The sequence below is a fragment of the Homo sapiens genome, chromosome 16, assembly GCF_000001405.40.
Source record: "Homo sapiens chromosome 16, GRCh38.p14 Primary Assembly".
NCBI classification, from domain to species: domain Eukaryota; kingdom Metazoa; phylum Chordata; class Mammalia; order Primates; family Hominidae; genus Homo; species Homo sapiens.
The window spans coordinates 14,551,893-14,572,942 of record NC_000016.10 but is presented as its reverse complement, the minus strand read 5'-3'; the positions used below and the strand labels follow the sequence as shown (position 1 = coordinate 14,572,942).

Below are 21,050 nucleotides of genomic sequence, written 5' to 3'. Positions count from 1 at the left end.
CACTCCAGCTTTGGTGACAGAGTAAGACCCTGTCTCAAAAAAAAAAAAAGAAAAAATACAAAAAGATCTAACATGCTAGGAGATTCAGTAAAGGTAGAGGTGGTAGCAGAATGTGTTTTATGTTTTAGTTTAATGAAAAAGAAACTATGTTAGCTTGTGGACATAAAATTGGAGTGCAGTAGCAACAAATGTGAAGTGTCTACTTCTGCTAGTACCTACCCATTAGTGTTTGCTTATGAAAAATCAGATGATGATTGTGTCACATTGGTACGTAATAGAAGCATGATGGCTTTGGTTTGGAGCATTTTTTAAAGTTTTGTTTTTGAAATGAATATAACGCAGCAGTGTATGGAGGGTTGAATAGGTATACATAACAGCTGTATGTACAGATGGGAGAGGAAGGAACCTGTGGTGCCTGAAATAAAAGCACACCAGTGTTTTCCCTTTTTCTCCATAGAAAGCAATTGCATGCTGTTAGCAAATTGGGTTTTTCTTGTAATATGCATGTGCTTGACATTTAACATCAGAGAGATTTTAAACTGAAGAATTAAAGATTTCTTCCCAGTGTCAACTTATTTTGGGTGACCAAAAAAAAAAAGAAAAGATTTCTTCCCAGCCCTCTCGCCAGTAACGGACAGAACAAGGCTTTATTTGCTGCTTACTAGCACAACTGCCGTTCGTGCCCAGCAGCATGGCGTGCAGGGTCGCAGTGGGTTGTTAAGGGACCCCGTGTGTCAAGCTTGTCTCCCTGGAGGGTGCTGCCTGATCACCTGCAGGGAAGCCCTCGCTTAACCTTCTGCTGTCCAGCCTGTCCCTCCCTCATACAGAGGAGCAGTGTATTAAATTGAGTCTTACAGTAATTCCACCTCCCTCCTCCATGGGACTTCCAGCTTCCCAACATAAACATGAGTTTTAACATAGCTTTATTGTTGGTAAGCATATAGCTGTCAGTGTCACAACACTCCATAGGATTCATTTCCATTTGAATTTAAATATTTAAAAAGCCGTTTGATTGATTTCTCCAGTAGGATTGCTTTACTTCAGGATCTTGTGGAGCGTAGTATAGTACAGTTGAATCCCGGCTCTGCTCCTTATTACCTGTGTGATCTTGGGCAAGTTACTCACCCTCCCTGTACCTCAGCTTCCTCGTTTTTAAATTGAGAATATTAGAACCTGTTTGATAGGGTTGTTGTGAGGATGAAATGAGAGAGTGTGTGTAAAATGCATAGTGGCTGGTACATCATAGGCCTCAGTTAACTTCTCACTGCTGTCACTGCTGTGGTGACATAGTTTGAGACACTTCTCTGACTAGATGTGGGGGACAGAAGGAGGGCTGTTGGTTTGCATAGAAGATGTTGTATGATGCACTGTGTACATCCAGTAAACAGGACTTTGTTTTGAATTATTGAGCCTTGACCAGAAAGCAGAGGAGACCTCCCGCAAAAAACCTACATGTAACTAAATAATATGCAGGGAGAAGATTGAATATGTTACTGTTTTTTGTTTCTCCCCTTTGAATCATATGGTTAGTTCTTACTCTTAGTTCTGTATTGTGTTTTCAGTTTTAGACTTTTTTTTTTTTTTTGAGTTGGAATCTTGCTCTGTTAGCCCAGGCTGGAGTGCAGTGGTGCAATCTTGGCTCACTGCAATCTCTGCCTCCGCCTCCTGATAGCTGGGATTACAGGTGCCCGCCACCACTCCTAGCTAATTTTTGTATTTTTGGTAGAGATGGGCTTTCACCAAGTTGGCTAGGCTGGTCTTGAACTCCTGACCTCAAGTGAACCACCCACCCTAGCCTCCCAAAGTGTTGGAATTACAGGCATGAGCCACCGCGCCTGGAGTTTTAGACTTTTATTGGGAAAAGGAAGTAAAGAAATATATCTTCTAAGTGAACTATTAGAAGCTGTTTCTTTCCTTTTTTAAATTTTAACTTTAATTCTTTTCTTTTTCTTTCCCTTGAGACAGGGTCTTGCTCTGTCATCCAGGCTGGAGTGCAGAGGCACGATCATGGCTCACTGCACCCTCAACCTTCTGGGCATAAATGATCCTTCTGCCTCAGCCTCCCAAGTAGCTACCAAAGGCGCATGCCACCATGCCTGGCTAATTTTTTTTTTTTTTTTTTTTTTTGTAGAGGTGGGGGCCTCATTACGTTGCCCTCGCTGGTCTTGACCTCCTGGGCTCAAGCGATCCTCCAACCTCAGCCTCCCAAAGTTCTGGGATTACAGGCATGAGCCACGGTGCCCAGCCTCTTTCCTTTTTCTTTTTTCTTTTTCTTTTCTCTTTTTTTTTTTTTGAGATGGAGTCTCACTCTGTCGCCCAGGCTGGAGTGCAGTGGCATGATCTTTGTTCACTGCAACCTCCGCCTCCCAGGTTCAAGGGATCCTCCTACCTCAGCCTCTTGAGTAGCTGAGACTACAAGCATGCGCCACCGTGTCTGGCTAATTTTTGTACTTTTAGTAGAGACAGGGTTTCACTGTGTTGGGCAGGCTGGTCTCGAACTCTTGACCTCATGATCCGCCGCCTCGGTCTCCCAAAGTGGTGGGATTACAGCAGGCATGAGCCACAGGGCCCGGCCCTCTTTCCTTTTTCTTTTCTTTTTTTTTTTTTTTTTTTTTTTTTTTGAGACAGAGTCTCGCTCTGCCACCTAGGCTGGAGCGCAGTGGTGTGATACCACCTCCCAGATTCAAGCAATTCTCCTGCCCCAGCCTCCTGAGTAGTTGGGATTACAGGCACGTGCCACTGCACCCTGCTAATTTTTGTATTTTTAGTAGAGTCAGGGTTTCACCATGTTGGCCAGGCTGGTCTTGAACTCCTGACCTCGTGATCTGCTCGCCTTGGCCTGTCAAAGTGCTGGGATTACAGGCGTGAGCCACCGCACCCGGCCTCCTCTTTCCTATTTCAAAACCACTTTATTGAGATATAAATTCACATACCATATAGTTCACTCATTTAAAGTGTATAGTTCAGTGGTTTTTGGCATATTACGTTATTAATTTTTTTTAATTTGGTAAAATATACAACTTTTGCTATTTAACCATTTAAAATGTACAGTTTGATGGCATTAATTACATTCACAATATTATACAACCATAGCCACTGTTTCCAGAACTTTTTCGTCACCCCAAACAGAAACTCTGTAACCAGCAAGCCAGTAACTCCCTATCTTCTGCCTCCCCTCAGCTCCTGGTTACCTCTAATCTGTCTATGAATGTATCCTTTTGTGAACTGTTCTTTTTGAGCAACTCATTGCTTCACTGACATTTTAATTTATTAAAACAATGATATTTTGCATCACCTGGAGCATTTTTCTTTTGTAATTGTATTACTGCCTTATGTTTAGATCACACCTTGGGCACATAAACTTTAAGATACATAGATGTGTATCTGTGCAACATCTCAGCTAGGGTGGCTTATGCATAAGGCAGCAGGAGCATAAGGGAAATAGCTGAGGCTTCAGGGTGGGTCGGTTGGATTGATGCCACCAGACGGGAGATTTGTCTTGCCAAAGCTAGGTTTCTAGTCTTTCAACTGTAGATCATAATCTCCACCTGGTTGGGCAGCAGCGCTGATAAGGCTGTTTGGTGTTGGGTGTGGCATGTAGAAGGTGTGCAGAAAGGGTGGTTGTTACTGTGACTTACACTGTAGTGAACTTGAAGAAAATAATGGAAATCTTGTTTCTCATTTCATTTCGTTTTTTTAAATTCTTTTTTTTTTTTAAATTTGTATATATTTTTTGAGAAGTCTCCTCCATCGCCCAGGCTGGAGTGCAGTGGCGTGATCTCGTCTCACTGCAACCTTCACCTCCGAGGCTCTAGCAATTCTCATGCCTCAGCCTCCTGAGTAGCTGGGATTACAGGCTCAAGCCACCATACCCGGCAAATTTTTGTATTTTTAGTAGAGACGGGGTTTAACCATGTTGGCCAGGCTGGTCTCGAACTCTTGGCCTCAAGTGATCCGCCCACCTCAGCCTCTCAAAGTGTTGGGTTTTCAGACATGAGCCACTGTCCCCGCACTTTTTTTAAAAAATTTAATTTAATTTAATTTTTTTTGAGATGGAGTCTTGCTCTGTTGCCAGGCTAGAGTGCAATGGCGTGATCTCGGCTCACTGCAACCTCTGCCTCCCAGGTTCAAGCGATTCCCCTTTCTCAGCCTCCTGAGTAGCTGGGACTACAGGCGCGTGCCACCATGCCCTGCTAACTTTTTGTATTTTTAGTAGAGACAGGGTTTCACCATGTTGGACAGGATAGTCTTGATCTCCGCCCGCCTCAGCCTCCCAAAGTGCTGGGATTACAGACGTGGGCCACCGTGCCCTGCCAGCGCCCGGCATTTTTTTAAATTATTTTTTTTGAGACAGGGTCTGGCTCTGTCACTCAGGCTGGAGTGCAGTGGAGCAGACATGGCTCATTGCATTCTGGGCCCAAGGGATCCTCCTGCTCCACCCTCCAAGTAGCAGGGAGTACAGATGCATGCTACCACACCCAGCTATTTTTTTTTTTTTTTAAGTTTTTCATACCAGCCTGGCCAATGTGGTGAAACCCTGTCTCTACTAAAAATACAAAAAAATTAGCTGGGCATGGTGGCGGGTACCTGTAGTCCCAGCTACTCGGGAGGCTGAAGCGGAAGAATCGCTTGAACCCGGGAGGCAGAGGCTGCGGTGAGCCGAGATCGTGCCACTGCACCGCAGCCTGGGCAACAGGGCGAGACTCCGTCTCAAAAAAAAAAAAAAAAGGTAAAAATAAAAAAAATAAAGTTTTTCATAGAGATGAGGTCGCGCCCTGTCACCCAGACTGGTCTTGAACTTCTGGACCCAAAAGATTCTCCCGTCTCGGCCTCCCACAGTGCTGGGTAGGTCTTCATTTTATGAAAGAAACACAGCAGGCGGTGTGTTCTGTGCTGAGGACCCTTGGGTGACAGTCTCTCTGTGTTGATAGAAGCAAAGTGGCCCACATACGTGATGCCAACAAAAACTTTTTAATTGAGAATGGCAATTTAGATATCTTCTTAAGAAAACACTTTATAACTGTCTTTGCATCTTAATTTTAAAGGTCTTGCTGCAAAGTTGGGTTGTAAGTGAAAAGAAAATACCTACCCTGTGTGTTATTTGCACTAATTTGTGTTGAGCCTTCTGACGCTGGTGAGGCTGTGTGATTTGTGAGGCATTAGGGTCGAGAACACAGCCTCCTCCATTGTCTGCCTGTGCCGGGCACATCCCTTCTCATCCCTTTCCCAGAAGCACCTGGTGATGCCAGAACCGAGGTCAGGGAAGGCAGGAAGGAGGCCACTTATAGCAGTGGTGATCATGGGCCCCTTCTTTCTTATTGGCTGGCTTTCCCAAGAACTTGGTAGTAGTTATCCTTTAATTTTATATTAATGTGCTTGCATGAGGGAGTAACAAATCTTTTAAAAGATGATATCCTGTGCCCTGCAGCTTTTACCAAAAATGGGTATGAACCTGGACTAGGCAGCACAGCTTATCATAAACTGGCTGCATGTGGACAGTGGTATGATTGTTGATATTACCCTTTAATCATAAAGAGCCCAGGAAATACGTCTTTAAAAAATAGTCTCCATTTTCAACCTCTTCTGGATTGTGTAAATTTTGGAGTCAGGTGCCATGGAGGAGTGAAATTTTAGCACTGCAGATGCTTCAAGCCAGCCTCCCAGATTCCAGAAGGCTTGAAGCCAGTTTTTCCCTAGTTCACAAAATATATTTTCCCCTAATATACAAGATGCATTTTTTCTTCCTCACATACTTTAACCAAAGCCATTTATTTTTCCTCAAAGTCTTGTTTATTTCGTTTTTGGCTCCCCAAGTTACCATGATAAAAAGAATCTCCATGAATTGGCTTGGTTTGATTACCCTCAAAGTTTAATGCACTCACTGATTTTCACAAAGTCAAAAGACAGGGCACATTAAATTACTGTGAAGCCTTGAGTCTGGTTTTTTAAGACTGGAAACAAGTGCTACTTCAGGGAAGGGACTGCTTGCCTCAAGTTGATACTGCCTTATTTAATTTCTGCCTTGTGATCTTGATTGCCACTTCTGTGGCAGCATCAAAAAACTGCTTTTTAAAGAAACCTTACAGGCCACCCACCCAGCAACCTGTACTTGGTATGCTAGCCCTGCAGCACTGCAGGGGCAGTCCACGTGCTGAGCTGTTCTAGTCTTGTGTTTGCTCTAGTTACTTTAAAGTACATTTCTCTCTGGCTTAATAGCTTGTTTATTATTATAATTTAAAATAACTTGTTGAGGTAAAAGGAAATCAGTCAACCCTTGGATGTATATTTAAGCAACTTGCCTCCTCTGTAGTAGGGTATTGGATTAGTGTTCTGTAGGGTATTGGATTAGTGTTCTGTGGCTGCTGTGACAAGTTACTGCAAGCTTGGTGGCTTAAAATACCAAGTGTTTTAGGTGAATACATCTCTCATGGTTCTGGAGGCCAGAAGTTTCAAATCAAGTCATCAGCATTGCTGAGCTCCCTCCAGAGGCTCTGGGGAAGAATCTGTCCTTGTCTCCTCTGGCTTCCAGTGGCTGCAGGCGTTCCTTGGCATCCCTCTGCTTAGGGCCACATCACTCCAGTCTCTGTCCCCATGGTCACATTGCCTCCTCCTCCTCTGTGTGTGTGTCCTCTCTGTCTCTGCCTCTCTCTTATGAGGACACATATGATGGCAGTGAGGCCCCACTTGTATAATCCCAGATAATATCATCAATCCCAGATATTATCATTTTAGTAGATGTTAATATAATAACATCTACTAAGATTCCTTTTCCAACTAAGGTAGCACTCAGAGGTTCCAGGGAGTAGAAAGTGGACATATCTTTTTGGAGGCCACCATTCAGCCCACTGTAGGCAGGTTAGTAGTAAAGTCAGCATTCTTAGCTATTTCCAGCCTTGCATTGGTCCTGGCTTGGAGCAAGTGGGTAATAGTTATTTCCAAGACTATTTAGCATTTAATTTGCAGTGTTCAAGGATTAGCAGTATACTCTAAGAAATTTGGGCTACCTATCAAATAGCTTATCGATTGAACACCTTCCACTATGCACAGTATGTCACCTGCATTGACTGTTTTTTCTAAAGGCAGCCCTCATAGATAGGGGAAAATGTGCCCATTTTAAAGCCGAGACATCTGCCTAGGGCCCCAGGAGTGGCAGAGTCAGGGATAATCAAGCCTGTGCTCCACTAAGAAGGGATTCTTCTTCCATAGCACACAGTGTCTATAAGGGACAATGCTGTAGTTGGTGGCATATCTTTTTAAGAGACAGTGTTAGTGTCTTTGAAAGAAGATTTCCGTTTCTCTCAATGTTTGGCCTGAGCACAGACTGTAAAAGATGTTGACTTAGACTGTTGGATTGTGTGGGGCTTGTTTCCTCTGACACTTTACAGTATGTTGTTTTACAGGCCCTGCAGGCATTGCCTTTGTATAATGTTTAATTTAATGTTTTTAGTTGATGTAATTTGATATGCTTCATTTGGAGACTGTTGAAATGAGCTGCTGGTTTTGTTTTTTTCTTCCTTTGTTTTTTTTTTTTTGCCTTTGTTTCTAGTGTATGTATTTAAGAAAGGATATGAGTTGGCTTCAGGACAAATGTTGAGTAACGCTCTATTTGTCAAAACAGCAAGTGGCTAGATTGAAAACTGTATTCCCCCCACCTGAGTGAAATTAAAATAACTGATGCCACAGTCACTCCCATCTAGCCAGTGGTTACCCTTATTTTACACAGGAGCCTTAGTGAGCAAAATAAATGAGCTTATTTTGTGAGAGATGTCTGCATGCTTCCTACCCTGGATGATAAAATTAGTTTTTTATAGCACATAAATATGTATAATGATGAGCCTTGCATACAGGGTTCTTATGAAGTGCTTTTACTGCTCTGCCCTGAAGGAAATACCAAGACCGTTTGCAAGTACAGTAGAGCTGCTGGTCGGTTAAGGTTTCAATTTCTCTTTAGAAGGCTTGGGACTTGGGGTGAGCCGCAGATTAATTCTGTGCTCAAATTGGGTTGAGATGAGATTGTATTCAACATTTCTGTATCCCAGTCTGTAGTGGTAGGAGAGGGGTACAATTTTACTTGGAAATCTCTTTTTTGAGAAATCGGAAGTGTAGTCTTGAGAGAAGCAGAAAGCAGATGGACACGAATGCAAATTTTTCACTCGGGGAGTGAAAATACTGAGTTCTTAGGAGGAAGGATAAAGAGTTTGGGGGCTTGAGGTTTTTCCTTTTGCTAGGAAGAGAGACCAGAATAAACTCTGTTCTTCTTTATTAACACATGTCATGACATTAGAAGTCTGTCTAGATCATCCAGGCCTGTGTGTGTGTCATTATGCAAACTAAACCTCTGTGTCCCTACACCTCTGAGGCCTCGCCTCACCCTGAGATGCTGATTCACTCGTTTTCCTGATGGTGATCACGGTGTGTGGGAGCAGGTGTGCCTGGCAAGCCCCATGCCCAGGTAGCAGCTTGCTTTGCACTACAGTCGTGGGAAGGTTGTCCTTTTGATCTCCGGCCACATGGCTCTCTTCACTGCGTGTTGTTCCTGTTGCCTTGAAAATTCGCTCTACCCAAAGCTCTTCCTCAGACAGCAACCTCATTTTTTGTATCAGGGCTCCACGCCATCACGTGAAGCTATAAGTTAATCAGCCCTTTGAGTATTATAAAAAAATGTTTCTGGGATGTTGTATCCTGAGCACTTGCTTACACTTGCTTCTCTTATATACACAAGGGCTTTGACTAGTGGTTTAGGATGAAAACCCTTGTCCCTAGCTGCTCCCGCTGGTACTCTAGGCTTACCATTTCACAGGGAGGCTATGGAGACAGCTCAGGTTAAAAGCCACGTGGGAGAGAGAGAACAGGGCCTGCGTGTGTAGGGCGGGTAGTGGGAAGCTTAGGGTCGGCCTCCATGGTGGCCAAGGGCAAGTGGCTAAACTTGGAAGAATCTGCCTCCCATTCTCAGTACAGGGGGACCGATAACTTCCAGACAGGAGAGGATCAACTGAGGCTGAACAGGCCATGATAAATGTTACTTTAGTTAGGAATTTTTGTCCTTAATTTTTTTTTCTTTTTAAAACACAAAAATCCCACTCATAATTCCTCAGCCCAGAAGAAAAAAAGCTGTCCTCTTAGAGAATTTCCTGCTAGTTTGTGTTCTGTGTCTATTTCATTTACTAATTGAGATCAGTGTTCCTCATTTGCTGATTGAGATTATACTAGTTATATAATTGTATAACTAAAAAAAAAAAAAAAGCCAGGTGCGGTGGTGTGCACCTGTCATTCCAGCCATTTATGAGGCTGAGGTGGGAGGATCACTTGAGACTGAGTTTGAGTCTTGCTTGGGCAACATAGACCCTGTCTCAATTTAAAAGATACATATTTAACCTGCGTGTCCTGCACATGTATCCCAGAACTTAAAAGAATTATATACACACACACACACACACACACACACACACACACACACACACACACAAAGGAATTTTCAAACACATTAAAACTCGTGGTCAGCATCATGTAGACAGCCTTCAGTGGCCTGCCAGCCAGATCTGTCATGGTACACTCACAACCTTCCTTCGTGGCTGGAGCTCTTGTCAGTACATGCTTGCCTTGCACTGCACTGGCTCCAACACTAGGCGTGACCATTTTTTGCTAACTGCTTCTTAAAGTGGCCGCCTGTCTGATTCACGCTCCTCCTCTGCCATCAGTTTTAGGACTGGAAAGCCTGCTGCCTCAGGAGCAAAACTAAGTATTTCCTTTCCTTTGTGAATCAAATCTGTGATTTTGTAGATAGATTTGGTAATGTAGAATTTGAAAGAACTATAATGATCTTTTCAGTTCTCAGAGGTTTGAGTCTCCATCCAAAGTATTCCTGAATCACCTTTAGGACTGCTTGCATGCATTTTTGAATATCATACTTCGTTTTCTTGAGCATAGCTGCGTGAAATGGGTTAATAGCAGCATTGTTTTGCAACCCACTTAATATTCACCGGACTACTAGGGAATGGCTTAGATAAGCCACAGTCCAAGGCAAGCCATTGTGTCATCATAGAATAACCTTTGATCTGTGCTTGTACTTAACATAATCTGTGTCTGAAGCTTTGTGGTAAGGGTGGAGGATTTTGCTAATGTTAGAGGTGTCTGATTCTTTTGTATTGTGTGTGTTACTCCCTCAAGTGTTTGCTAATCTTTAGTGCTGCATTAGTGGCTAAAGCTTAATTTGTGGCCAATTCACAGAAACAGGTTAGACTTTTGCTAATGAGTTGCCAAGAGAGTAGTTTGAGTAATTTTTTTTTTTTTTTTAAATCTACTTAAAAACAAGAGTGGTAGCTGTCAGCAGTAATTTCACCCAATTTATCTCTTGCAGAGAACCTAGTTGCATGCTACAGTTTGGCCTCCTGGTTTCAAGGAGTGGTAGAAGGCTTATGTTACTGCCTTCTGGATTTTGAGGTAGTCCTTGGTATTTAATAGTTTTATGTTTTTCTTTTTTTTATTCATAGTTTTTTTTTTTTTTTTTTTCGAGACAGAGTCCCGCTCTGACCCCCAGGCTCACTGCAACCTCCACCTCTCAGGCTCAGGGGCTCCTCCTGCCTTAGCCTCCCAAGTAGCTCGGACTACAGGCATGTGCCACCACACCTGGCTAATTTTCTGTATTTCTTTGTAGCAGTCATGTTGCCCAGGCTGGTTTCAAACTCTGATCTGCCTGCCTTGGCCTCCCCAGGTGCTGGGATTACGGGCATGAGCCACTATGCTTGGCAGTTTTTTTCTTTTTTAAAATTTTATGTGTCAAAGTTTTGTACTTTTCTTTTCTTTTTTTGCGATGGAGTCTCACTCTGTTCCCCAGGCTGGAGTGTAATGGTGCAACCTCTGCCTCCCAGGTTTAAGCGATTCTCCTGCCTCAGCCTCCCGAGTAGCTGGGATTACAGGCGTGCGCCACCACCCCTGGCTAATTTTTGTATTTTTAGTAGAGATGGGGTTTTGCCATATTGGCAAGGCCAGTCTGGAACTCTTGACCTCCAGTGATCCACCTGCCTCAGCCTCCCAGAGTGCTGGGATTACAGGCGTAAGCCACTGTGGCTGGCCAGTTTTGTGTTTTTCTACGTATTTTATTTATGGTTTGTTCATTTAATTGTTTATTTATTGTGTAGACAGGGTCTTTCTCTGTTGCCCAGACTGGAGTGCAGTGGCATGTTATAGCTCATTGCAGCCTCAAATTCATGGAGTCAAACAATCCTGCTGCCTTAGCCTCCTGAGTAGCTGGGACTACAGGCACGAGCCACCTTGCCCGGCTAATTTACTTTTTGTAAAGACAGGAGTCTCACCATGTTGCTCAGACTGATCTCAAACTCCAGGCCTCAAGTAATTCTCCCACTTCTGCCTCCCGAAGCAGTGGGATTAACAGGGATGAGCCACAGAATGATTTAATATAAACAAATCATTAAGACTAATATCTTTTGGAGAAGTTGGCACAAGTCATTATCCAGCTGATTGCTGCATCATCTTTAGTGGTAATTAACAACACCACATTGAATATACTGTTTTCCTGTTAACTCGGTGATTCTCAGTCCAGAGTTTCTGAGTCAGGAGTCTTGGATGGCGCTTGGGAATTTGCATCTCTAACAAGTTCCCAGGTGATGCTGATCCAGTTGGCGGGGAAGCACATTTTGCTAACGGTTCAAGGTTCTATATTCTAGAGTTATATATCTGAAATGAAATTCTTCAGTAACTAATGAGCCTTCTTAGGCAGCCTGGGACACAGTGTCATCCCGCCCTTTTCTTTTTTTTTTTTTTTTTTGAGACGGAGTTTTGCTCTTATCACTTAGGCTGGAGTGCAGCAGTGCAATCTCGGCTCACTGCAGCCTTCGCCTCCTGGGTTCAAGCGATTCTCCTGCCTCAGCCTCCTAAGTAGCTGGGATTACAGGCACCCGCCACCATACCCAGCTAATTTTTGTATTTTTAAATAGAGACGAGGTTTCACCACATTGGCTAGGCTGGTCTGGAACTCTTGACCTCAGGTGATCTACCTGCCTCGGCCTCCCAGATTGCTGGGATTATAGGCGTGAGCCACCGCGCCCGGCCTATACCGCCTGTTTCACAAAAAAGTTTGGAGGGTGGCTTTTTGTGAGTGCCACCCAGCACATGGGTAATGGAGATGAGGTGGTGGCTCTTTGGAGCTAAAGGTATTGTGTAGCGTATGCTGTGTAGCCTGTGAAGAGACTGAGTGGAAGTGACCCAGTGTATTGAGCAAAAGATCCTGGTATGCTGTGCTTTACCCTGGAGTCTTTCCAGACTTGTTTGAAAGCCAGGATAACAAGCACTGCCAGTGATATACTCATACAACATTTAAAAAATGACAGATTCCACAAAGGTTAAAACTTGCTCTATGACATCTAGAATGTGAACTTGAGTTACACTGTTTCTTAGGATAGAATTCTTTTGTAAAATTAGCCATTGTATTTAATGGGAATTTTAATTTTAGTGTTTGATAAAGTTAATGTCAGTCCTTTAGAGAATAAGTGGGGAAATAATATTTCATCAGAAAGCTTTCAGAAATGTGGCAAGATACCCGCACGCAGTCTTGAGGGTCTTTACCGTGTTACACCCTCTCGGATCTTTGCTAAAATAGAAAGAACGTTTCGTGCAAGTGTTAGTCTGAGTGTCTTTTTGATATCTGCAGATGAAAGTCCTTCTGGGAGAGATTGTTCTTCAATACAGTTCACAGTGATGGAACATCCTTTCATGTCTTTATCAGCATTTCTGCTTGCCTAGTGCATTTCCTCATATGCTAGGATGAAAACTGTCAAGTTGGATGAGGCATATGTGAAGTATTTTATCAAATCATTCCAGGGAGTCAGTGCAGGCCATTTGACAGCCAGCTGGGATGAGGCATGCCTATATTGAAATGTTTTAATTTTACTTCAGAAGGGCAGAGATGTTACCAGAGCAGTGGCTTCCAAACAGCATGGCATAAGGACGGTGGGAGGCCGTTGGGAGAGTTTACTTTGGTTCAGTTCCGCAGACACTCAGCCACAGTTTTAGAGTCAGTTTCACAATTGCGTGGCGCTCTCCAGAGCCGCAGTCTGCCAAGTCACACAGAGTTGGTTTTCGTGTTCTTCCGGGTTTTGGAGCTATTCAGTTCCCTCTAAACCCCAGATGTGAAGGTGAAGGTATAGGGAAAGAGTGAGAAGTGCTATTAATAATTCATTTGAAAGGGGTTTCTGTGTAAGGTAATGTGGAGTAAACAAACAAGATAGTGTAGGATTGACTACATTAAAAAATAGCTTTTATGGGTACAAAAAATAGAATGAATAAGACCTATTTGATAGCACAACAGGGTGACTATATTTGGTAATAACTTAATTGCACATTTTTAAATAGAGTGTCGTTGGATTGTTTGTAACTGAAAGGATAAATGCTTGAGGGGATGGACACTGCATTCTCCATGATGTGCTTATTTCACATTGCATGCCTCTATCCAAACATCTCACGTACCCTACAAATATATACATCTACTGTATACTCATAAAAATTAAAAAAAAAAAACAAATCTTTTGAGTGTTTTAGCTGAGAATAAATTTTTGCTTACTTTAATCAGAGATAATATTGAAAATTCAGGTGAAATATTAGAGAACACATAGCTTATATATTGACAAAAAATATTTTTCAAAAAAATTTTTTCAAAACATCTAAATGGAAAAAAATAAAATAAAGAAATAAAAAAAAAACAACAACATCTAAATGGTAAGAGAAATTGGGAGAGCCTTCTTTTTCTTTGTTAGTATAATCCTTCCTGGTATTTTTACAACACTGAGTTTCCTAAATTTGTTGTTGAGGTCCCATGACTTTAGCAATATAACAGAATTGTAAACAGAAATACAAGAATTGCAAATTCGAGTTTGTGGTTTTATATTTATATTTTTATATTTATATTTTTCTCCCTCCCAGCCAGGTGAGGTAGTGCACAGTATACGAAAGATTAATTCAGATGGCATTTTCGGTTGGCTTTTTCTAAGAAAGTCTCTAGTTATTTTCCCTGGGCTTCTCAGTTCTGGTAGCCTTTAAAGTTTAAAAAATGATCGTAAAAGGAATTTTGAGAAACAAAGCTCAAAGTTTCCCAAAGCTGTTGGTGGGAGAGGGGAGGGTATTTTTTATTCTTGGCTTAATGATATAAATATTTTATAAAGGTAAAATCATAGTATAAAATTTTGTGCCTTTTTAAAACTTAGAATTATAAGTTATCCATGTTTTGACATTTTCGTAGTTATTTTGGTTGCTTAATATTATATTGAAATTTTGAACTATAATTTACTGACCTCCATGTATTATCAAATCTTGAGGTTGATTTTGATTATTGGCATATTTGATGGTATAGCAGTGAACATTTTGTTGATTCAACTTTTGTTCTTCTCAGTTATTTTTATGGTGCTTGATACGTTTCATTAACTTTTTTTTTTTTGAGACAGAGTCTCGCTCTGTTGCCAGGCTGGAGTCCAATGGCGCAATCTCGACTCACTGCAACTTCTGCCTCCTGGGTTCAAGTGATTCTCCTGTCTCGGCCTCCCAAGTAGCTGGGATTACAGGTGCTCGCCACCATACCCACTAATTTTTTGTATTTTTAGTAGAGACAGGGTTTCACCGTGTTGGCCAGGCTGGTCTCAAACTCACTAATTTTTTGTATTTTTAGTAGAGACAGGGTTTCACCGTGTTGGCCAGGCTGGTCTCAAACTCCTGACCTCAGGTGATCTGCCTGCCTTGGTCTCGTAAAGTGCTGGGATTACAGGCGTGAGCCAGTGTGCCCAGCCTTCATTAACTTTTAAAATTAATTTTTTAAAAAATTTGGTGTTTAGAATTGGAGACTATTTCTAAATTTACTAAACGGAGAACTGAAAATTATATGAAGCATGACTAACAATAACAAGAGTTATTCCTAGGTTAGTTAACTTATCTAACTAACTAGCTCACTAACCTAGGAATAACTTTTGTTATTATTAGGTTCTGGTAGGCGAAAATAATGATAGTTCCAGTGTGTATCGTTTATGCTGGAAAATAATATTTAAGAAAACATGATAGCTGCCCTCACTGAGAACCCACCATGCTAGGTGCTTTATGTATCTTCTTGTCTTCTGGCATTGCAGGGAGTATTGATTAAATTGGTTAAAACAGCTTACAAAACCAGAATAGTACACTTGAGCCTAAATTAGTGAACTAAAAATAAATTTGGTTTCTTAGCCATAGAATTTGGTTTATTAAATTGTAGGCCAGACAACAAATTCTCAAACCACAGAGTACTATGACTTCGTTTTTTCTGACATTAACAGAACAGTATTGTTCATGCTGATGGTTCCATTTGTAAACTAGCTTTTGCCCTGCTTGGCTTTTTTTTTTTTTTTTTTTTGAGGCAGAGTTTTGCTCTTGTCGCCCAGGCTAGAGTGCAGTGTTGCTATCTCGGTTCACTGCAACCTCCGCCTCCATGGTTCAAGCGATTCTCCTGCCTTAGCCTCCCGAGTAGCTGGGATTACAGGTGCCTGCTACCATGCCCAGCGAATTTTTGTATTTTTAGTAGAGACGGGATTTCACCATGTTGGCCAGGCTGGTCTTGAACTTCTGACCTCAGGTGATCCACCCTCAGCCTCCCAAAGTGCTGGGATTACAGGTGTGAGCCACCGCGCCTGGCCCTGCTTGGCTTTTGAATGCCTGGTAATAATGTTCCTTAACTGTGGGTCCGTGAAGCCAAACTAATTGCTTCTTGGGCAGATAGATTGCCTTTTTAATTTGCTGTATAATGTTGTCTCTACCAGAAATGCATAATATATTGTTATCTAAGTAAAACTCATTAAAATAATCTTACACACAACAGAATGCATGATATTTTGTCCATAATCTTGCAAATAAAAGAAAATTGAATGGCATGACAGAGAGTTGTAATTTACAAGCACTCTTTTATAAGTGCCTTTGTACCCATTTTGGAAGATAAACATAAAATGACTGCTATGATTTATATTAGTGTGATAGTTTTCTTTACCAAGGATTGTTTTGTTTGGTGCTTTTAGTGTGTTTTAAATGATAATAATGATGTGGGCTTTTGAGACAGTCACTTATTTCAGACTCCCAGAGAGATTAGCATTTATCCAGTGACTTTGCATTTCATTAAAAAAAAAGAAACCTGTGTTGTCATTCTCAGCTCACAAATGCCCATTGTAAGGGTTACACTTAGAATTTTTAGGAACACTTGTTCATAGATTGGTAAGATGGGTAATATTTATTTTCTTTCTGTTTACTTGGACTAACACGACAGCTCTGTGGAGGACTTTCCCTTGACTCTTTGATGATTAATTTTGTTCATTTAGCTAATATTTATTGAGCAGCTACTGAGTGCCAGGAACTGTTGAGGATGCCAGTTTGTTGCTTGTTTGTTTTTTCTATTTGTGATAAATATTTGGCCCAGGAGAAAAATCTCTGAAATGAATTTCAGAGCTTTAGAAATGATTTTACATGGCTGGTGCAGTGGCTCACGCCTGTAATTGCAACACTTTGGGAGGCTGAGGCAGGTGGATCACTTGAGGTCAGGAGTTAGAGACTAGCCTGGTCAACATCGGGAAACCCCATCTGTACTAAAAATACAAAAAATTAGCTGGGCTTGGTGGCATACGCCTGTAGTCCCAGCAACTCGGGAGGCTGAGGCGGGTGAATCGCTGGAACCTGGGAGGCAGAGGTTGCAGTGAGCCGAGATTGTGCCGCTGCACTCCAGCCTGGCGACAGAATAAGACTCCGTCTCAAAATGATAATAATAATAATAATAGTAATAATAATAATTATAAAGCCAGATGTGGTGGCTCACGCCTGTAATGCCAGCACTTTGGGAGGCAGAGGCAGGTAGATCACTTGAGGCCAGGAGTTCAAGACCAGCCTGGCCAACATGGTGAAACCCCGTTTGTACTAAAAATACAAAAATTAGAGCTACTCAGGAGGCTGAGGCAGAAGAACCACTTAACTGGGGAGGTAGAGGTTGCAGTGAGCCAAGATCACACCACTGCATGCCAGCCTGGGCGGCAGAGTGAAACTCCATCTAAAAAAAAATAAATAATAGAAATAATTTTACAAATAGAGTGATATCAAGGATCTTCTACAAAAGATATAATAAATGCCTATTAAAATTTTTTTTTTCTAATTCAACCTTAAAAATGCAAAATGCCTGTCTTTTAAAGGAAATTGCCCATTACTTGTTTGTCTTTTCTTCTTGTAGGTTATTTCTTATGAGGGTCATGGATATCCCCTATCTAAACTTGGAAGGACCAGACTGTAAGTAAATTTTTATTTTCTTATTGCATCTGTGCATTTAAGTGTGTGGTCTGGAAGGGATAACAGGAAAATATTACTAAAGAAAAAGCTTTTTTCACTCAAAATTGGGCTGTGATTTTGTGGTTGATATGAATAGTATGCTTAAGTTAATGGGACTCTTGGGCATTCATTAGTCATTTCTTCATTTATGTTTTCCAGTTTATGCATGAAATGAATTTTAGAAGCATGTATCTTCTCTATATATTTCATTTTCACTCAGAATTCTGATTTCATCATTTTCTATAAGTATTTATAATAGATTTTTAAGATATGCTAGCTGTCAGTTATCTTGGTAAAATTTCTGTTTTCCAGTTACTTGAGTATGTGTATATTTGAATTTAGTAGGTTGATTTCTGTTTTGTTTTGTTTTGTTTTATTTAAAAAACGTGGAAGGTCTATGGGAGGTGGTTGCTTTTTCTTCTCCTCTGCTTTTTTTCTGCTATTTCACTGCTCTTTTTTACCTTAATGCATGTCACTGGCAGGTGGAAGTGGGTGAACTATACTTGGTGACAATAATTGTTGCAATGATAGTTTGAGGACATACTGTTGTGTTGCCCTCCACATTAGACTGATATTTTGGTCTGTCATTCTCACAAGAATTCTGTATGCTAAATATTGCCATTCCCAGTTTATAGTCCAGAGTGGTTAGAGTGGTTAGATCTCTTGCTTAGAGCTGCACAAATAAGTTCTAGGTTTGGGATTAGAAAGCAAGATTATGACTCGGGATTGCCTTACTTAACAATTAGTCCATTTAATTTGGACAGTGCTTTTTTTTTTAACTAAGTATATTAAAATGGGAAAGTTAAATGTTTAGTGAAGTGAAACTTCATGAACAGAGCAGCGTTTTTTTTTTCTTCTAAATAATTTGCACAGTTGGGTGTGGTGGTTCATGCTTGTAATTCCAGCACTTTTGGAGACCGAGGTGGGAGGATCACTTGAGGCCAGGAATTCAAGACCAGCGTGGGCAGCATAGCGAGACCCCCATCTCTACAAAAATAAAATTAAAAAATAAAAAAATTAGCCAGGCACGGTGGCATGCACCTGTAGCCTCAGCTGCTCAGGAGGTTGAGGTGGGAGGATCGCTTGAACCCAGGAGTTTGAGGCTGCAGTGAGCTATTATTGTGCCACTGTACTCTAGCCTGGATGACAAGGCAAAACCCTGTCTCAAAAAAAAAAAAAATTAAAAAATAAACAAATAATTTGCACAGGAACTTCATGAGAAGAGAAGATGCCTTTGCATTGGGTTCAAGTTGTTGTGGGTTCTGTAAAGTATCAGAACCTGAGGTCTAGATTACCATGGCAGAATCCCACCAATCCTAGGCATACTTTTAGGAGTTGTTTGGTAATCATGAGGAATTCATAACAGTTCTCCAAATTAGCTCAGACTTAGTTTCATCAAAGAGTCACTGGTTTACTTGATCACTTTTCACCCATCAATATTTCATCATAAATTTGTCTTGTAGTGCAGCCTAAACGTGATCATGTTCTCCATGTGACATTCCCCAAAGAATGGAAAACCAGCGACCTTTACCAGCTTTTCAGTGCCTTTGGTAAGTCGCAAGTTCAGATGTACTTTTTAGGGTTTTGCTATTCATTTGGTATAGGTGGTCAGAAGTAGAAAGATAGTTTTGGCCTGCGTATAAAAGAATGTTAATATTCAAGGTTTTAATTTCACTCTTTGAATTTTCTGGTTTAGGATACTGTTATCTTTGTGCTAATATCATCTGAGAAACTTTTAATAGCACCTCACAATACAGAGCTATTAATTCATGGAAAGCAAAACACCGTGATGAGGACTGTCCTTACTACTGACCAGGGAAAATAAGCTGTGGCTAAGCATAAATAATTTTTAAGATTAAACTCACAGGGTTTGTGTGTTTCATAATGGCAGGGGAGGTCTTCTCTGCTTTAGATTAATCAAAGTGACAGATGTTTGGGTAGATCAGGATTTGTGATACGTGTATGAGGTAGGGCAGTCCTTCTCTTTCCTTTTTTACCAGGTCATGTGATTAGGTTCGTTTGAGCAGTCTCCTGATAAGTGTTTATGAAGACCATTCTGATTGTAAACCCACAGCAATGCCTCTTATTTTAACAAACGAAGCATTTAAGCTATTCTCTTTGGAAATTCTTGGATAAAGTGAAGGCCACAAAACCTAAATGTCCAGTAGTAAGAAAGTTTAGTAAATGTTTATGTATCTTCTAGTATGTAGCCATTTAAAAAATATTTGAGGAGTTTATTAAAAGAAGTTAAAGTGCTTGTATTTTAACGTTTAGAGTAAAAAGCAGATACGAAGTAGGCTTTCCATGTAACTTAACACCATTTTTCATTTTCTTTCTTTTTTTTTTTTTTTTTTTTTTAAATAGAAATAGGGTCTTCCTGTGTAGCCCAGGCTGGCCTCGAACTCCTGGGCTCAAGTGATCCTCCCGCCTCGGACTCTCAAAGTGCTGGGATTACAGGCATGAGCCACTGAGCCTGATCTATTTTTTTCTTATCTTTTTTTTTAAATTGATATTTTAGAATAGTAGACTTTCACAGCAGTGCCTCCTGCACTGATAATACAGTACACCATTTCTGCATGTAAATATTTAAAATAAGTCAGAACGAACGTTAAGGCATATAAAGTTACTTTAAGTACTAACACTATTATTATTATTATTATTTTTTTGAGACAGAGTTTCGTTCTTGTTGCCCAGGCTGGAGTGCAATGGCGCGATCTCGGCTCACCTCAACCTCCGCCTCCCAGGTTCAAGCCATTCTCCTGCCTCAGCCTCGCGAGTAGCTGGGATTACAGGCATGCGCCACCATGCCCAGCTAATTTTGTATTTTTAGCAGAGTTGGGGTTTCTCCATGTTGGTCAGGCTGGTCTCAAACTCCTGACCTCAGGTGATCCTCCCACCTCGGCCTCCCAAAGTGCTGGGATTATAGGCGTGAGCCACCGCGCCCGGCCTCTAACACTATTTTCAATAAGATTATGTGTAAGCATGGTGGTGTGTGCCTGTAGTCCCAGCTACTTGGGACACTGAGGTGGGAGGATTGCTTGACCCAGGAGGCAGAGGTTGCAGTGAGCTGAGATTGTGCCACTGCACTCCAGCTTGGGCAACAGAGTGAGACTCTGTCTCAAAAATAAAAAAAAGAAATAGTTGTGTTTTTGAACCTATGTGGTCTCTGATTTTTGTTAGTGGTCTTGATAGGAAAATAAGTCCCTAATCCTAGTATTGCACTGAATGATGACAAGCCCCAGGGTTTAATCTGGAAGGATCTTTCTATTGTGTTAAATTTCTAATAGCGTCTTTTCCCCCTGGTTTGTCTCTTCTCTTGAAGTTTTAACGTAAATAACTGCTGTGGTAGCCTTTGAACAGGCTAACTCTCTGTAGGGCTGAGATTTTGATCACATTTTAAATAAGCACCTTCTCTCTCTTTAAAGATAGACTATACTGAAATATGTAAGATACGCGCATTAAATCTAATAGCTCTCCACATGGTCAAATGTTCACTTTACTTTTAATTTGCGATTGCAGGTAACATTCAGATATCCTGGATTGATGACACATCAGCATTTGTTTCCCTTAGCCAGCCCGAGCAAGTAAAGATTGGTAAGTGTTTTGGATTTCTGTTTTGTGTATTAAATACAGTGAGAGGTTGCCCTCCCACTGCCCCCTTAATTTAAAAGCTATGGGCTCAGTCAGCTTACACTCATTGCTGCCTCGTTTGTTTTTGAGAT

At 41.3% G+C, this 21,050-nt stretch overlaps 1 protein-coding gene across 11 annotated transcripts in view; it reads left to right on the top strand.

The window, feature by feature from the left end:
• Positions 1 to 21,050, top strand: part of PARN (poly(A)-specific ribonuclease) — a 194,560-nt gene that overhangs the window by 57,318 nt on the left and 116,192 nt on the right. For all 11 annotated transcript variants that reach the window (XR_007064884.1, XR_007064883.1, XR_007064882.1 and 8 more), the window contains 3 exons: positions 17,234 to 17,289; positions 18,792 to 18,878; positions 20,848 to 20,922. Coding sequence is in view for 7 of the 11 variants with exons in the window: in NM_001134477.3 (NP_001127949.1) it covers positions 17,234 to 17,289; positions 18,792 to 18,878; positions 20,848 to 20,922 (218 nt within the window). In the remaining 4 variants the exon portion in view is untranslated. The remainder of the gene's footprint in view (positions 1 to 17,233; positions 17,290 to 18,791; positions 18,879 to 20,847; positions 20,923 to 21,050) is intronic.